This window comes from Homo sapiens, chromosome 5, assembly GCF_000001405.40.
Source record: "Homo sapiens chromosome 5, GRCh38.p14 Primary Assembly".
NCBI classification, from domain to species: Eukaryota; Metazoa; Chordata; class Mammalia; order Primates; family Hominidae; genus Homo; species Homo sapiens.
The window spans coordinates 176,682,360-176,698,430 of record NC_000005.10 but is presented as its reverse complement, the minus strand read 5'-3'; the positions used below and the strand labels follow the sequence as shown (position 1 = coordinate 176,698,430).

The window sequence follows — 16,071 nt, the reverse complement described above, 5'->3', positions numbered from 1 at the left end:
TAAACACCCCCAGTGATAAATGGCCCGGCAAGCAGCAGTGCCGGTGACGCCGGAGCCCTCTGCTCCCTCCACCACCTGTTCTGTCCCAGCTGGAGGGAGGGGTGCTGGAGGAGGGGGCTTCCATCTGAGTCAGAATCATTCATCCTAAGTAATTAGCTGCCAAAGAGAATGCAAACCTGCAGCCGAGGAGCAGAGGTCTCCCCCCAGCCAGCTTCTCCAAACTCCTCCTGCCCCAGACTTGCCTCCGGAGGCAGCTGGGAGAGCTGGAAACCTGAGGAGGCCAGAAAACCATCTGCCAGGGCTCAGGTCTCTTTGCAGATCAAAAGCTAAGCCACTCCTTTCAAGACTGCCTCTGTCAGGCCCTGCCTTGTCCAACCCACAGCTTCCCTCCCAAGGCTGCTGTGCTGGGCCTCTCTCATCCTCTCCTGAGCTGTATTGGTTGAGTTGTATTGGTTACCTGCGCCTAAGGCATCTCAGCCCAGGGCAAGCAAAGGCTGCGCATCATCACCCACTGAGTCAGGCCCTGATCTTGGACCCAAGTGTGGGTAACTGTGTTTGGGTTGTGCCTGATGCCCAGGCCCCATCTTCTGCCCATTTTGGTGCCTTCCCCCATAGCAGGCAATGTAGGTGCCCACTGCAGTGTATGCCAGCCCAACCTCCAGCCACCAGCGCCTGCGACCACATTTCTTTGCCCGAGACCTTTCTCTGCCATCTGGATGCCACTCTGCCCATGTTGCCACGGGCCAGAGTGCTGGAAAATAGGGCCCCCCGAGAGAGGCCATCAGCCAGTAACTGATAGGAGCTGGTGTCTAGGTGCCCATAACCCTCCCCTTGTGTGGGGTACTCTCAGGCACGCTGTCCACACTGAGCCCAGCCCTGCAGGATGGAGCTGTGGTTGCCCACAGTTGGAACTCACTGAGAGCGCTCCCTCTCCTGGCTGCTCCTTTCCCTTTCCCATTCCCCTACCACCTCCCAAATTAACTACTTGTATGGGAAACCTTGTCTCAGGGTTCGCTTCCAGGGGGATGCAAACTAAGGCTGCCTCCTTCCAATGCATGACTGAGCACCTGCTGTGTTCCAGGTGCTGCAGCGAGAAAAGGACACAGGTGTGCAGGCTGTGCCCTGGGCTGGGCCCATGTGGGAGGATAGGCAATGGACAAGGAATCAAATCATATCCTCTTACATGGTCTTAAACACAATGATGAAAATGCAACCGGATGATGGCAGTGATGGGGAAGAGTTTGTTTTAGAGGAAGAGAGGGCAGATAGGGAAGAGCGGATCTCTCCAAGGGAGGGTCAGCCATGCAGAGAGCTGCGGGAAGAAGATTCCAGGCAGAGAGAACGGCAAATGCAAAGGCTGTGTGGTGGGAGTGAGCATGGTCGGTTTAGGAACACATAGAAGGCATTGTGGTAGGAAGGAGGTGTGCCAGGAGAAGGTGGAAGAAGTGAGGTAGAAAGAAACGCTGAGGCTGGACCTGGTGGGCCCCTGCAGAGCATGAAAAAGAGTCTGTGGGTTCAGGAGCACGGGAAATCTTGGGCAGGGTTGAGAGGGGAGGAGGAGGTTTGCTCAGCACCACAGAGCATCGCTCAGCCTGCTGCGTGGAGACTGGGTGGAGCAGGGGCAGGAGTGGATTACAGAGGCACCTGGGGCTCCCCCCCGTCATCTAAATGGGAGACGTTGGTGCTTGGAGCAACTCCGTGTTCTCTGCAGGTGAACCTTCCATTTGAAAACCTGCCCTTTCTCTGCTGAGGACCAGTCCCTGGCCTGTGAGTGCCATTCCCCAGGCCCCTCCAGGTTGGGGGTGACCTCCAAACCTCAGGCTAATGCCTGCTTCCTTGTTCCCTCTGGAGTCCCCCACAATGCCACATGTCCCCGCCCACCACCTGCCCAGGGAACATCCTTGCTCCCCATGACTGGGCATCACTAGGGGCCTCCCAGCTTTTGCCTGCTCCACAAGTGAGCAAGTGTCATTCCAGATCGAAGCACCACTGCCACCCCGACCCTGCCTTCCCCAGTCCAGCCCCCAGAATGGCCCCTCCCAGGGCCCAGGGCAATGATCATTTAGTGGCACCATGGGCTCGCAGCAGCTTTCCCTGAGTTCCTCAGAACACATTAACTACATTATTTTTCACTCAATATCCATCAAGAAACCCTTGAGAGAGCTGAAGGACGTGGCTTAGCCCTAGTTTACAGATGGGTTGTACAAATAGAAAGGTTTCCACATTTTTCAGGAGCACCGAGGAACAGAGCCTTGGTGAATCCTAAACTGGCATCAATCACAAATGGGCACAGTTAGGGGAAGAGTTGTAAGCCTTGTATGGAAACCAGGTTTGGGGCCTTGCTGCCTGCCTCTGCTGGGGAACAGACACCACAGACCCAGAGACCCCGCAGACCCCTGCTGGGGGACTAGGGGAGAGCTTGCTCTTGCTCTCTCAGGAGGGCCCCGGGTTACCTGCCGGGCTGGCCCCATCCTGCTTCAGTACTGAGCTTTACTGTATAACTCTAATGCTCAGGGCATGGTGGCACACGCCTGTAATCCCAGCATTTAGGGAGGCCAAGGTGGGAGGATTGCTTGAGCCCAGGAGTTCAAGACCAGCCGGCAATCTCTCTTTTGTAGAGATAGGGAGTCCCTATCTCTACAAAACATATGAAAATTAGTCAGGCATGATGACATACACCTGTGGTCCCACCTACTTGGGAGGCTAAGTCAGGAGGATTGCTTGAGCCCAGGGGGTTGAGGCTGCAGTGAACCAAGATCGTGCCACTGCACTCTAGCCTGGGCAACGCAGCAAGACCTTGTCTCAAAAAACAAAAGGATAACTCAAGGGCCACTGAGAACTATGTTCTGGGTCCAGGGCAGGAGCAAGAAGAGGGCTAGCAGAGGAAGGCAAGAACGGGAACAGAGAGCATGCGAGACTAAGCTTTCTGTCTCTGTCTGCCTCAGCCTCCTCATCCGTAAAACGGGGGAATATAATTCCCTTCTCCCAGGGCAGCAGGTGTGATCATGGCTGTGAGCACACTTAGGGGTCTGGGGCATAGACTGCCAGTTATTCCTCACTGCCAGTGTCTATTTTCCCCTCCCTCTGCCCTCCCCTCCCTTCTGGCTCATGGCTGCCAGAATCGGCACTCTCTCCAGCCTCCCTGCCACATGACTAAATTCAGACCATAACGCTGTAAGCATGAGTGTAGCGTGCAGTTCTGGGAAGTGTCCTCAAAGGGAGAACATGTCCTTCTCAGTCCCTTTCTCCTCTTGGCAGCTGGAACTAAGCAACCACCGTGGCTGGTAAAGTGGAGGAGGTCTCCTGCAAAGGAGGTCGCCCTCGACTGACCGGAGAAGGCTCTTCTAGTCCCAACTCCTGCCTGCAGGCTCTTGATTGTTTGAGAGAGAAATAACTTCTATCTTGTTTACAGTGCTGCTCTTTTCTTTCTAGTGGCTTCTATCACTCCTAGCTGAACCTAATCCTGTTCGCTGTAGACCAGAACCTAGATCTGTCTGTCCCCAGGGCCCAGGCCCACCCACCAGCCCACTGCTCTGTGGGTCCTCGTGAAAGGCCATAGTGGTTGGAGGGGTGGCTACCGCTCCAGATTCGTCAACAAGCTGCCCAATAAGGCAGGCGGCCCTGGCTCGGCTGAGCCCCCGACGCAGCTCAACTAGAAGGTGCTGGGGGTGACCCCCACGGGGTTTCTGGAACAGGCTGGAGCTTTGGCTTTGAGAAGGACAGGAAAAGAGCTTGAAGAATGGGAAGGCTGAGGACAAGGACAGTGACTGGAAATTACTTGCTGGCTGGCTTCAATCCAGCCTCTGGCAAAGCAGAAAGGAAATTCTCAACTGGTCCTCACACAGTTAGAAGAACGTGGTGATGAGGCGGTCTCAGATGTCCCATCCTCATCCTCTGACTCGGTCCTTGTACCCATTGCACAGAAAGGAACCAATGGCTCCCCTTCCACCACCTGGGAGCACGAGCCAGCTGGTGACCACAGAGTGGATATCATCTGTGTCTCTCCAGCCCCACATCCGTTCGTCCTTCTCGGTGCTAACAGCACCCAGTTTCTCTCTGGGAGTCCCCACCGTCCCCGCTTTCAATCCATGAGCTTCAGATGTAGCAGACCTCGCCCCAGGGTCCAAGGCTGCCATGTGGCTCAGGCCAGGCCAGAGAACTTAAATTTCTCCAACTACCATGATCGACCAGGGATGGACATGTGACCCAGTAAGACCCAGTGAGACTGGAGGGGACGTTCTTTGTTCCTGGATTTGACCCTGGGAAGGTATAACCCTTTTACTACCACATGGAGCCTCAGGACGAAGCTAATGTGGAAACGAGCAGAGCCAAGAGACAGACAGGAGCCCTCCTGGTTCTAGACGGCTCCAAGCTGAAGCTCTCATCAGCCCTGGACATGTATATACCAGCAGATTTCTTCCCCATCATCACCCAGAGCAATTTGCCTACGTACATTCTAGTCTCTCTGACTGGAACGTCATTCCTTCTCCAGCTGCCAAAATCCCCTCCAGCATCTTCAGGCAAATGTAAACTGCCCCCCGCCCCCCGCACCAAGAAGGAGCTGGCTCTCTCCCCTGCCCCAGTTGAGCACAGATCACATAAATGGGAACCATTTTCACGTGGGCTCCGCCTCCCCACAGGAGTCTCTTCAGCCCAGGACCTGCGTCTCCTGTAACTCTGTATCCAGCACCCAGCATCCAGTAGGCGCTCACTAAATACCGGTTGAATAAATAAATGAATGACTGCAGAGAAGCAAGCTAATCGTTCATCAAGTTTATGGATGACATGAAATTGGGAGCAGTTGCTAGCCAGAGGTTAGAATCATAAAGCAGATTGGCTTTCGCAAATGAGACTACAGCAAGACGGAATCGGAATTGGATGACGTTCATTAAGTAACTAGTTTGAGGAAGTCGTCGCCGGGAGTGTGTGGGAGCTGGGGATATAATGGTTTCTGTGCACGTTCCAAGAAAAGCTGTGGGTGGCAGGCTGGACAGGTGGCGAAAGAAGTTGGCTGTCAAGAGCTGGGGTTAAAATGGGGTCGAGGTCAGTTCATGGGCTTGTGACAGGCAAAACCCCAACAAGTTCTTCTGCCACCAGAAGCCACCCCTAGCTCTGTATTTTGGATGCAGGGGAAGCAAGGGAAAAGCTTTTAAAGTACAGAGGACAAATTGGATTTCTGAAGTCGGGTTAAAGAAACTGGGGTTGCTGCATCTGGAAGCAAAAACAGGAAAAACCACTTCCCTGAATGGGCTTTAATGAGGGGTGCCACTCCCCAGAGTGGGGAAGGCACTCCCGCTCGCACCTGGAAGAGCCCTGTGTCCCAGAAGAAGGGTGACAGTCAGGGAAGTGGTGGCAGCCCGCCCTGCCCCCACTGCAGCCTCCAGAGCTGCCGCCACCCCTGCTGTTTACACTTTTATCGTTTGCAATGAAAGACGATGATGTGTGTGCGCTGTATTGATTGTGCCTCTTAGATTTTTATGTCATTGTGGAAAGCAGCAATTATGGTCGCCTGCTCTGGAGGGAGCAAACAGCCCTAGGGGAGGATGAGGCAGGGCCAAGAAGATGGAAAAGGCAGCCCGAGGGGTCCCCTGCTCAGGAGCTGGGGGTGTGAGGTAGGCAGGACAAGAGAGGGACTAGCTGAGCCTGAGAAGGGCCGGCTGGATACGCCCTACCCCAGGCTGCAGACATTTATTAAGCACCTGGGGCGTGCCTAATACTCAAATCTTTGTCCCATATCCTTCTGAAAGCCCCCAGTGGCTTCCCTTTTGCATTTAGAATAATGCAAAACATGTCACTGTGCTTACCAAGACATGTCACCTGGCCCTGCCCAACTTGCTGGTCTCACCTCCACCCTCACTCATTGCCCTCCGGCCCCCTGGCCTTCCTCCCCACAATCCCTGTCCTCTTCACACTCAGGTCTCAGCTCCAGCGCCACCTCCTCACAGCCCAGTCACAGAGACTCCGTGCCATGTGCACACCAGTCTCTATCACATCACCTCCCTTTTTTTCTTCCTAAGACTTTTAGGAAGCCTTGTCCACTCTCAGATGGCTTCCTGTTTGTGGGCTCATTGTCTCTCTCACGCAATGAGATGTAAATGCAAACAGAATGAGGGCCAGGCGCGGTGGCTCACCGCCTGTAATCCCCCCACTTTGCGAGGCTGAGGCAGGCAGATCACTTGAGCTCAGGAGTTCGAGACCAGCCTAGCCAACATGGTGAAACCCTGTCACTACCAAAACAAAACAAAACAAAACAACAACTTTAGCCAGGCATGGTGGTGCATGCCTGTAGTCCCACCTACTTGGGAGGCTGAGGTGGGAGGATTGCTTGAACCCAGGAGGCAGAGATTGCAGTGAGCCGAGATTGCAGCACTGCACTCCAGCCTGGGTGACAGAGTGAGACTCTGTCTCAAAAATAAATAAATAGATAAGGAATGGGAACCTTATCTCTTGTTCACTGCTCTGCCACCAGCACCTAGAGGACTTCCTGGTACACAACATGAGTGGAATGAATATTGATAAATATAATTAGCTCCAGTGAACAGTAAAGGAAACTGAGGCCTAGAGAGTGTATTAATCAGGGCTGTGTTTGTGAGTAACAGAATGCCCAACTAATACCCAGAGGTGGGTGATTGCTGGCACTGGCCCAGTTGCTCAGTGATATCCTTCCAGGCCAGGGAACTTCCCATCTTCCTGCCAGCCTTAGGACATTACTCTTAGCTTGCCCCTCATGGTCACAAGGTGGCTGCTGCTGCTCCTGACATCATGTGGCCTTCTAAGCCGGAAGCAGAGGAGAAGGCCAAATTCTGATCCAGCTGAGTCTATCCCTCTTTTTACTGGGCCCTTTCCACTCCCAGAACACCCTCAAAGATTCTTTCTCCAGCTCATTGGCCAGATTGGTGGCACTTGCCGCAAGAGAGATTGGGAAACTGAGCTCTCCAGGCTCCGCCTTAGAGGAAAGCAAAGAGAAGAGGGTTGGACAGGAAAGTGGGCCAGCCTCAGTGACAGCCATGGGGGGGTGAGGTGACTTGCCCATGGTCACAACTACACAACTGCTGGCTGACTCCAGGGTCCATCCCTATTTGTCATACCCTGGTGCTTCCCTCCTGGCACCTGTGTCAGAGAGAGAAGGCACTAGAGCAGATAGCGCAGGTGCCCTCAGGTCTGTCGCCTGGCCACGTGCAGTTGTGTCTAAGCTGCCTGTCTTGATCAGCTCCCAACATCTGCCTCCTTCCCACGACACACCCCAGTGCTCCGGCCACAACAATCCACCCAGTGCTCCCTGACCCACCCAGTCCCTAAGCCCTCCTCTGGCTCTATTCACCTGTTGCTCCTGGCCAGAGTCCCTGCTCACCCTGCAGCACTCCGCTCATCCTTCCAGGACCAGCTCAAATGTTGCCTCCTCCAACTCTTTCTCTTCTCCCTCTGTCATTTGGCACACATGACGTGCCTAGGTCAGCTCAGGGTGCTCCAAGGTACCCTTATATAGCTGACACTCCAGAGGAAGAGACAGGCCATAAGCAAATAAACAACAAAATAAGACCATTTTACAAAGGCACCAGTATTGTAATAAAAACAAAGCAGGGTGATGTGTTAGACACTGGGAGGTTGTGCCAGGCAGAATAATAGCCCCCCAAAGATGTCCTCAGTCTAATCCCTGGAACCTGTGACTATGTCAGGTCACACTCCAAGGAGAGTTAAAGGTGAAGATGGACTTAAGGTTGTGAATCATAAAGAATCTGGCTGGCCTTTGTACCCAGTTCCTGGGAGGTAGCCTCTAAATCCTTAGAATTTCCTGAGTGATGGGTGTCTTGTTACTTGCAGTCACTCAGACAATAGCTGTTACTTTATGCCAAGGAGGTGGCTCAGGATCAGGGCTGGACATGCCAGAAAGACCAGCCCTGTGATGAGAGGGTGGGGCTGTGAGCCACACATGATATCAGCCCGACCTCCATGGAGGAGAGGGGGATGGAGATGGGGTTCAGCTTCACGGCCAATGATGCAGCCCATTCAAGCAATTGTGTCCATGTAATGAAACCCCAATAAAAACTCAACACCAAAGCTCAGGTGTGCATCCCTGACTGACAATACTCTGTTTTGTCACACGTTGATGTCTCAGAGGGGGATGCGTCCTGACTCCACAGGGAGATCATGATGGACACTTCATGTTTGGGACTCTCCCAGACCTCACCCTGTGGGTCTGTCTCTTGGGTTGGTTCTGATTGTATCCGTTTATCATCGTAAGTATAGCCCTTTCCTGAGTTCTGAGTCATTCTAACAAATTATCAAACCTGAGGGTGCAGTGAGAGCCCCTGAATGTGTAGGCAGCTGGTGAGAAGTGGGGGTGGCCTGGGGCCCCTTGCTCCTGTGGCTGGTGTCTGAAGTGAGGGCAGTCTTGCGGAGGAATGTACCCTTAGCCTGTGGAGTCTGGCCTAATTCCAGGCAGTTAGTGTCAGAAGCCATTGCAGGTGGCTCATGAGCTGACCTTGAGTTGGGGACGTTGTCCTGAATTATCTGATAGGCCCAGTAGAATCACAAGAGTCCTTAGAGATGGAAGAGGGAGACAGAGGGAAGAGAACCAGAGAGTGAGAGTGCAGGAGGGACTCAGCCCAACTTGAAGGGGGAAAAGGGGGCCATGAGGATGGGGGAGGACAGGTGACCTCGGGCAGCTGGAAGAAGCAAGGAAACAGACTCCCCCTACGAGCCTCCAGGAAGAACACAGCCCTGCCCACACCTTGATGTTAGTCCAATGGGACCCAGGTTGGACTTGTGTCCCCCAGGACCGTAAGATATAAGTGTGCATTGTTTTAAACATCTAATCTTGGGGTGGTTTATTACAGCAGCAACAGGAAACTCATACAAGGATGCTACTTTGTGTGGGGAGGGTCAGGGAAGGCCTCTCTGAGAAGGTGGCAATTAGGGTGAAACTTGACCCTCCTCCTACCCCCTTATGTCACGCTGTTGCTGGCTTTGTTTGGAAGATGCCCACAAATGTGGACCTTACCGGATTCCGCTTTGTACACCCACAACTTACTGGAGACCAACAGGGACTAAGTTTTCAATAATGTTTTTCCTCACAGTAATTTATTTATTTGTTTATTTATTTAATTTCTTGAGACTGAATCCCACTTAGTCGCCCAGGCGGGAGTGCAGTGATGTAATCATAGCCCACTGCAGCCTTGAACTCCTGGGCTGCAGCAATCCTCCTGCTTTGGCCTCCCAAGTAACTGGGACTACAGGCGTGCACCACCATGCCCTGCTATTTTTGTTGTTGTTGTTGTTGAGACAGGGTCTCCTTATGTTGCCCAGGCTGGTCTCGAACTCCTGGACTCAAGTGATCCTCCTGCCTCATCCTCCCAAAGTGCTGGGATTACAGGCGTGAGCTCCCATGTCCAGCCATGGGTCAGTTTTCATGGGAACATAAGTTTTCATTTCTGTAGAGTAAATCCCCAGGAGTGGAATTGCTGGGTCACATGGTAAGCATATATTTAACTTTATAAACAATTGATAAATCAATTTCCAGACGGGTGGTGCCATTTTGAGTTCTCATCAGCAATGTGTGAGCATTCCACTTGGTATTGTCAGAACTTTTATTTTATTCATTCTAGTGGATGTGTAGTTGTACCTATTGCCCTAATGGATAATGATGTTGAACATCTTTTCATATGCTTATTGGACATCTTTATATCCTCTTTTGTAAAGTATCTGTTCAGATCTTTTGTCCAGTTTTTAAATGGGTTTTTTGTTTTCTTACTGATGGCAGCAGTGGCTCCATCATGCCGGCTGCAGCAGGGAGTCACAGCCAGGGCTGCACAGGTGGGGACAGACAGGAGTCCCACCCTTTCCAAGCTGGGGTAGGAGCTCCCCAGGTGACATTGCAGCCACCCAAGTCCTGGCTGCGGATCCGAGTCTCCCTGTGCTCTTGTGGGGCCAGGAACAGACAGGAACCCTGCCCTCCTGGGTGCAGCTGCAACCGCCCAAACCAAGGCTGCAGACCTGGGCTTCCCACTCCAGGAGCAGACAGGAGCCCTGCCCCCACCCCCCACCCCCAAACTGCTGCTGCAGGCTCAGGCATCCCTGCACTCTTGGAGGCTTGGGAAGTCCCCCTGCCCTTGCAGGCTTGGAAGTGCCTGCTCCCCTTGCCTGGCTTCTCCTTGCTATCAGGGCTGAGCCCAGTGCCATGAACTGCAGCAGGAGGCAGACAAATTCCTGGGCAGAAGGCGGCAGTCCCCAGTGAGGCTCCATCTTCAGGCCAGGGAGAGCCTGAAAGCTGGGGGCCAGGCTTCCAGTCCCACTGACCCAAGTGTCTTTTCTGGGTCTGCCCATGGCCGCCCGTGGACCAATCAGCATGCACGTCCCCGCCTCTGAGGCCCATAAAAGCCCTGGGCTCAGCCAGAGCTGAGCAGACAGTGGGATGACTAGCAGCAGAGAGGAGCTTCACACTCCAGGGTCTCCTCTCTGCTAGGAGCTGAACACTCATTGGGACACCCTGGCTGCAGAAAGGAGCTACCCCCTGTAGGTCTCCTGTGAGTTGTTCTGTTGCTCAGTAAGCTCTTCTTCATCTTGCTCACCCTGCACTTGTTTGCATACCTCATTCTTTCTGGCTGCAGGAGAAGAACTCGGGACCGCCAAATGGTGGAGCTAAAAGAGCTATAACATGAACAGGGCTGAAACACGGCCCTTGCTCACCACATTGCAGGCGAAGAGGAGAGAAGACCTGCAGCCCTTTAGGGAGCCCAGACCTGGGAGGCCTCTCTGAGCTAGGGCTGTGACTCCCTCTTTGGGGTCCTGCAGTGCCTGGAATCTCCAAGCTTCTGGGTGCCACTGCATTTCCCAGTGCCAGCCGGGGAAGCTACCTGCAATGCACCTGGTCCAGCCACAGCCTCACAGAGAGCCGGCACCTGTGCTGCCCTCCCCACTGCAGGTGTGTCTGACTGCACAGAGGCGGGACCCCACACTTGCTCACACACCCCTCACCGCTCCACGCCTGACTCGTCCTTGGCAGATGTGGGATCCAGGCTGGTAGTGTGAGCCGAGTGCAGCCTGCCAGGCCGAGTGGGTGGAACAAGCCAGTGGGCCTGAGCAAAACTTGGGCAAAGGCACCACCGCCAGAGGTTTCAGGCCAGAAAGTGACACCCCAAAGATTCCGTGACATTGCTGTTAAGTTTTGACAGTTCTTTATATGCTCTGAATACAAATCTCTTGTTGGATATGTGGTTTGTAAATATTTTCTCCAAGTCCATAGCTTGTCTTTTTATTCTCTTAACAGTCTCTTTCTCAAAGCAAAAGTTTTAATTTTGATGAAACTCGATTTATCCTTTTATAGACTGTTTTTAATAGCATGCCTACAAACTCTTTGTCTAATCACAGGTCATAAAGATGACCTTCTATGTTTCCATTCAAAAGTTTTATCTATAATCTATTTAGAGTCCATTTTTGAGGTCTGGCATGGTGGCTCACACCTGTAATCCTAGCACTTTGGGAGGCCAAGGCAGGAGGATCACTTAAGCCAGGGAGTCTGAGACCAACCAGCATGGGCAACATGGTGAGACCCCTTCTCTACAAATAAAAAATTAGCCAGGCATGGCTGGGCGTGGTGGCTCACACCTGTAATCTCAGCACTTTGGGAGGCCGAGGCGGGTGGATCATGAGGTCAAGAGATCGAGATCATCCTGGCTAACACAGTGAAACCCTGTCTCTACTAAAAACACACAAAAAAAATTTGCTGGGCATGGTGGCAGGCGCCTGTAGTCCCAGCTACTCAGGAGGCTGAGGCAGGAGAATGGCGTGAACCCGGGAGGTGGAACTTGCAATGAGCCGAGATCGCGCCACTGCACTCCAACCTGGGTGACAGAGCAAAACTCCATCTCAAAAAAAAAAAAAAAAAAAAATAGCCAGGCATGGTGGAGCACACCTATGGTCCCAGCTACTCAGGAGGCTGAGGTAGGAGCATCATCTGAGCCCAGGAGGTCAAGGCTGCAGTGAGCTGTGATTGACCACTGCACTCCAGCCTAGGAGACAGGATGAGACCCTTCCTCAAAAAAGAAAAAATAGAGTTAATTTTTGTGTAAAATGTAAGGCTTAAGTTATTTGTTTTCCTATGAATGTATTTGATTTTAATTTATTTATTTAACTTTTTACTATATCTCTTTGAATAGTTTTTTTAGAGGTTGTTCTAGAAAATGCAATAGACATACTTAACTCTTCTCAGTCTACTTCATGTGAAGTGTAAAGAACTTACTGCTGTGTAGGTCCCTTTATCCTCTCCCTTTTATGTTATATTTGTCTTCTATATTACATCTACAGCCACTGAAAACCCTACCACACAATGTTTTTTTGTTTGTTTGTTTTAACCGTCAGACATATTTTAAAGAGCTCAACAAGAGAAAAAATAGCCTATTATATTTATCCAAATATTTACCATTTCCTCTGCTCTCCATTTATTCCTGATGTTACACATTTCCTTCTACTATGATCTCTTTCTGTCTAAAGAATTTGTTGTAGCAGTCTTTTAGTGCAAGTCTCCCAGTAACAAATCCTCCTAGCATTCCTTCATCTGAAAATGTCTTTATTTTACCTTCATCCAGAAGGTATTTCTTCTAAAGACTTATGATTTGACAGTTCTTTTCTTATTTTGTTTTGTTTTGTTTAAGCACCTTAAAACTGTCGTTCCACTTTTGCTGGCCTTCATGGTTTCTGATGAGAAATCCAGAGTCATTTGAATCATTTTTCCCCTATAGGAAATGTGTCATTTTTTTGGGCTTGCTTTCAAGATTTTGTCTTCATTTTTCATTGTCAGAAGTTTGATTATGATTTTCTGGTCACAGATTTCTTTGGGTTTCTTCTGTTTAGGATTCACTGAGCTTATTACATCTGTAGGTTTATGTTTTTCACCAAAGTTGGAAAATTTTCACCATGATTTCTTTACATATTTTTTCCAGACCCTATTTATTTCTTCTCTCCTTCCAGAATTCAAATGATAAGAATGTTAGAACTTTTGGTGTTTCCTCATGGGTCCCTGAAGTTCTGCTCATTTTTTAAACACTCTTTTTTGCCTGTCATTCAAATTGGATGACTTCTATTGATCTATCTTCAAGTTCACTGGATTCTTCCTCTATCATCTCCATTTTGCTATTGAGCCCATCCAGGGAGATTCTTGTTATTGTCTTTTGCAGTTCTAAATTTCCACTTGGTTCTTCTTGGTATCTTGTTTCTTGGCTGAGACTTTCCATTCATTTCAAGAGTGTTTGCTCTTACACATTGCACCACTTTCATAATAGATGCTGTAAAGTCTGATATCTCAGCAAAGTAGCCTCAGCATTGGCATCTTTTCCTGAGTGAGTTGAGCCTTTCCTGGTTCTTTTTTTTTTCTTTTTGAGATGGAGACTTGCTCTGTCACCCAGGTTGGAGTGCAGTGGCACAATCTCAGCTCACTGCAACCTCCACATCCCTAGTTCAAGCGATTCTCCGTCTCAGCCTCCTGAATAGCTGGAATTGCCTGAGTCACTGGAATTATAGGCACACGCCACCACACCCAGCTGATTTTTGTATTTTTAGTAGAGATGGGGTTTCACCATGTTGGCCAGGCTTGTCTCAAACCCCTGACCTCAGGTGATCCACCCACCTTGGCCTCCCAAAGTGCTGAGATTACAGGTATGAGCCACTGTGCCCAGCCACTCCTGGTTCTTTCTATATAGAGAAATTTTTGGTATTTTTCTGTTAGCAGGCAAATGATCCAGGTGAGTTCAGGTCATAAGTTCCCAACAGCCTCCTGTGGCCTGTGGTTCCAATGTCAGTTCAATTTACAAAGTTTTGCTATTTATTCATTTTTTTATTACTTATTTTATTTTTTTGCTATTTCACTATTTGAATCTGCCCCGTATGTACCACCCCATGGCTAATCTGGGATTTGAGCAGTGCACTATCCCGTAGTTCAGTTCTCAAGTATGCAGTTTAAGGTCTAATCCTGTACAGATCATGCACATTTTGGGAAGGAGCCCAGGATTTCACAAACAACTTTAAGGGATCACTTTTTCCAGCTCTTCTCTCTCTGAGATCTCTCCTATACTTTCTGGTTCACTGAGGTTCCCCTTGTCCAGTGCTTGGGCCAGAAATCTGGGGCTTTATTTCTCCTCTGCCATGCATTTCCTGTGACTGTATGAGTTGAGCCCAAGCACCAGAGATAGCAAAGCAGCAGGGGTTTGCCCCACCTTCATGGACCACGGCTCCTCCAACTGGAGAGGAAAATTCCCCTTCCTTAGAGTTTTAGGTTCCCGCCAGCTTTCGCTGCTGCTGTTGCTACTGTTGCTAGTGCTACTGCCACATCATTGCTTAGGGGCTGTGGCAGGAGAGAATAGAAAAAGAGAAAAAGAAAAAAAAATAGGAGGCTTCTTCACTCACCGGGAGCAGTGGAAGACCCCTTTCTTGGTCCCGAAGCCAGAATCAGAGGGTTTTCCCTGGAGATCTCTCTATAGATGCTGATATCCACTTCAAGGTTTTTGGCTGCATTGAATTCAGGGGTTTCAATTCAGGGGATATTGGATGGGGGAAAAATAGTAAACTTACCACCAATTTGGTGTTACTTTGATAACTGGTCTTTTTTTCAGAGACTTAAAGGAGGTAATTCATGCAATTAGTCCAGGTTTGAAGCTGCATTTTGTGGGAGAGACAAGGTGGAGTGTGTCTACTTCATCTTACCTCCAACTAGAACCTCCCCACTAATTTTTAACAGACCCAGTGCATGCATACATGGTGCTAAAGCCATCACCGAGTAAGCGCCTCTTATGTCAGGCACACCAACAGAGTTTTATGCTCACAGACTTATGCTCAGGCAGCTCAGGGTTTGAGCCCCTGGCCCTCCATCCAGCTGTGTGATGCCAGGCAAGAATCCAAATGTATATGATCCTCAGTTTTCTTGCCTGTAAAACAGGGACAATTGTATGAGGTAGCAAGGTTGAGACACCGTAACATCTATAAAGCTCTTTATCTCAAGACCTAGCACATAATAAATGCTCAAGAAATAATAGCTACTTTTGGTATATTATTATTATTACTCATTTTGTTGCAAGCAGAGTCCTGGGGTTGCAAGCTACAGAGAGACTCTGCCCATATTAAGCAAAAAGGGAAGGTAAATTTGGGGTTATCTGAATCCACGGAGGCTGGGGGACCAAATCTGAGAGCACCAAGGACTGAAGACTGGTTGAGGGTCTCAGCTGAGTTTACTTCTGGCCCCACAGCCTGGGACAAGCTGCCCTAGAGCTTCCACTGTGAGAGGTAGCACCATCACTGCTCTCCTCAAAGACCACACTTGGTGGGGAACTTTCCAGAGGGAAACGGGGACTAACAAGCAAGGGGGGCACAGGTTCTAGAAAACCCCCCACAATAAAAAACCCTTCCCTCTTATTAGTTATAAGACCAAAGGCAATTAACCTAACCTCTCTGCATGTCTGTTTTCTCACCTGTAAAGTAAGGCAAATAATATGAACTGAAGACTTAATCTGATAATGTCAGAAAGGAATGATGACTCAGGATCAGGCAACGAGCAAGTGCTCGATTATAAAGTATGATGATGATGATTACATATGGCTGCACATTCAATCCTCACAACCACCCCTGGGTGTTATTGACCTCGCTCTCTGGATGGAGAAACTCACAGGGAGGCAGTGATCTGGCCAAGGACATGCTATGGCCTTGGATCTAAACACAGGTGGGACTGCCTTTTAAAACTGGTTTTATTCCCTAAAAACCTTACCTGTCCTCATCGTGGGGGATGATCAGAGTGCCATCAATGTTGGGCAGGCACCCAGTGTGTGTGGCTGACGGGATGGATGGTAACCACGCAGGGCAACATTTGAGGAAGAGGGTCGTATAAGGAGGTGGAGGTGGTGGGAGCTCCTCCACCTGAGATCTGCATTATGTTGGAAGCAAAGTGCTGCATGCAGAGGGGTTTCACCCGGGTGTGCAAAGCCCTCAGCACACCTGCGTTCTGCTATGTATTTTACTCATGAAAAATGTCAGTTATTTGGATGAGGCTGTCAGGATGAGAAATTTGATGACTGACCCACTTGACGACTT

General features: G+C 50.2%; 2 annotated features.

The window, feature by feature from the left end:
- Positions 300-1,123: an enhancer, noted in NCBI's record as "H3K27ac-H3K4me1 hESC enhancer chr5:176124309-176125132 (GRCh37/hg19 assembly coordinates)". NCBI's record gives its function as "activates a minimal SCP1, AML or CMV promoter by ChIP-STARR-seq in naive H9 embryonic stem cells {active_cell/tissue: H9 hESC(naive)}" and the evidence as "EXISTENCE:reporter gene assay evidence [ECO:0000049][PMID:30033119]".
- Positions 5,147-5,691: an enhancer, noted in NCBI's record as "H3K4me1 hESC enhancer chr5:176119741-176120285 (GRCh37/hg19 assembly coordinates)". NCBI's record gives its function as "activates a minimal SCP1, AML or CMV promoter by ChIP-STARR-seq in naive H9 embryonic stem cells {active_cell/tissue: H9 hESC(naive)}" and the evidence as "EXISTENCE:reporter gene assay evidence [ECO:0000049][PMID:30033119]".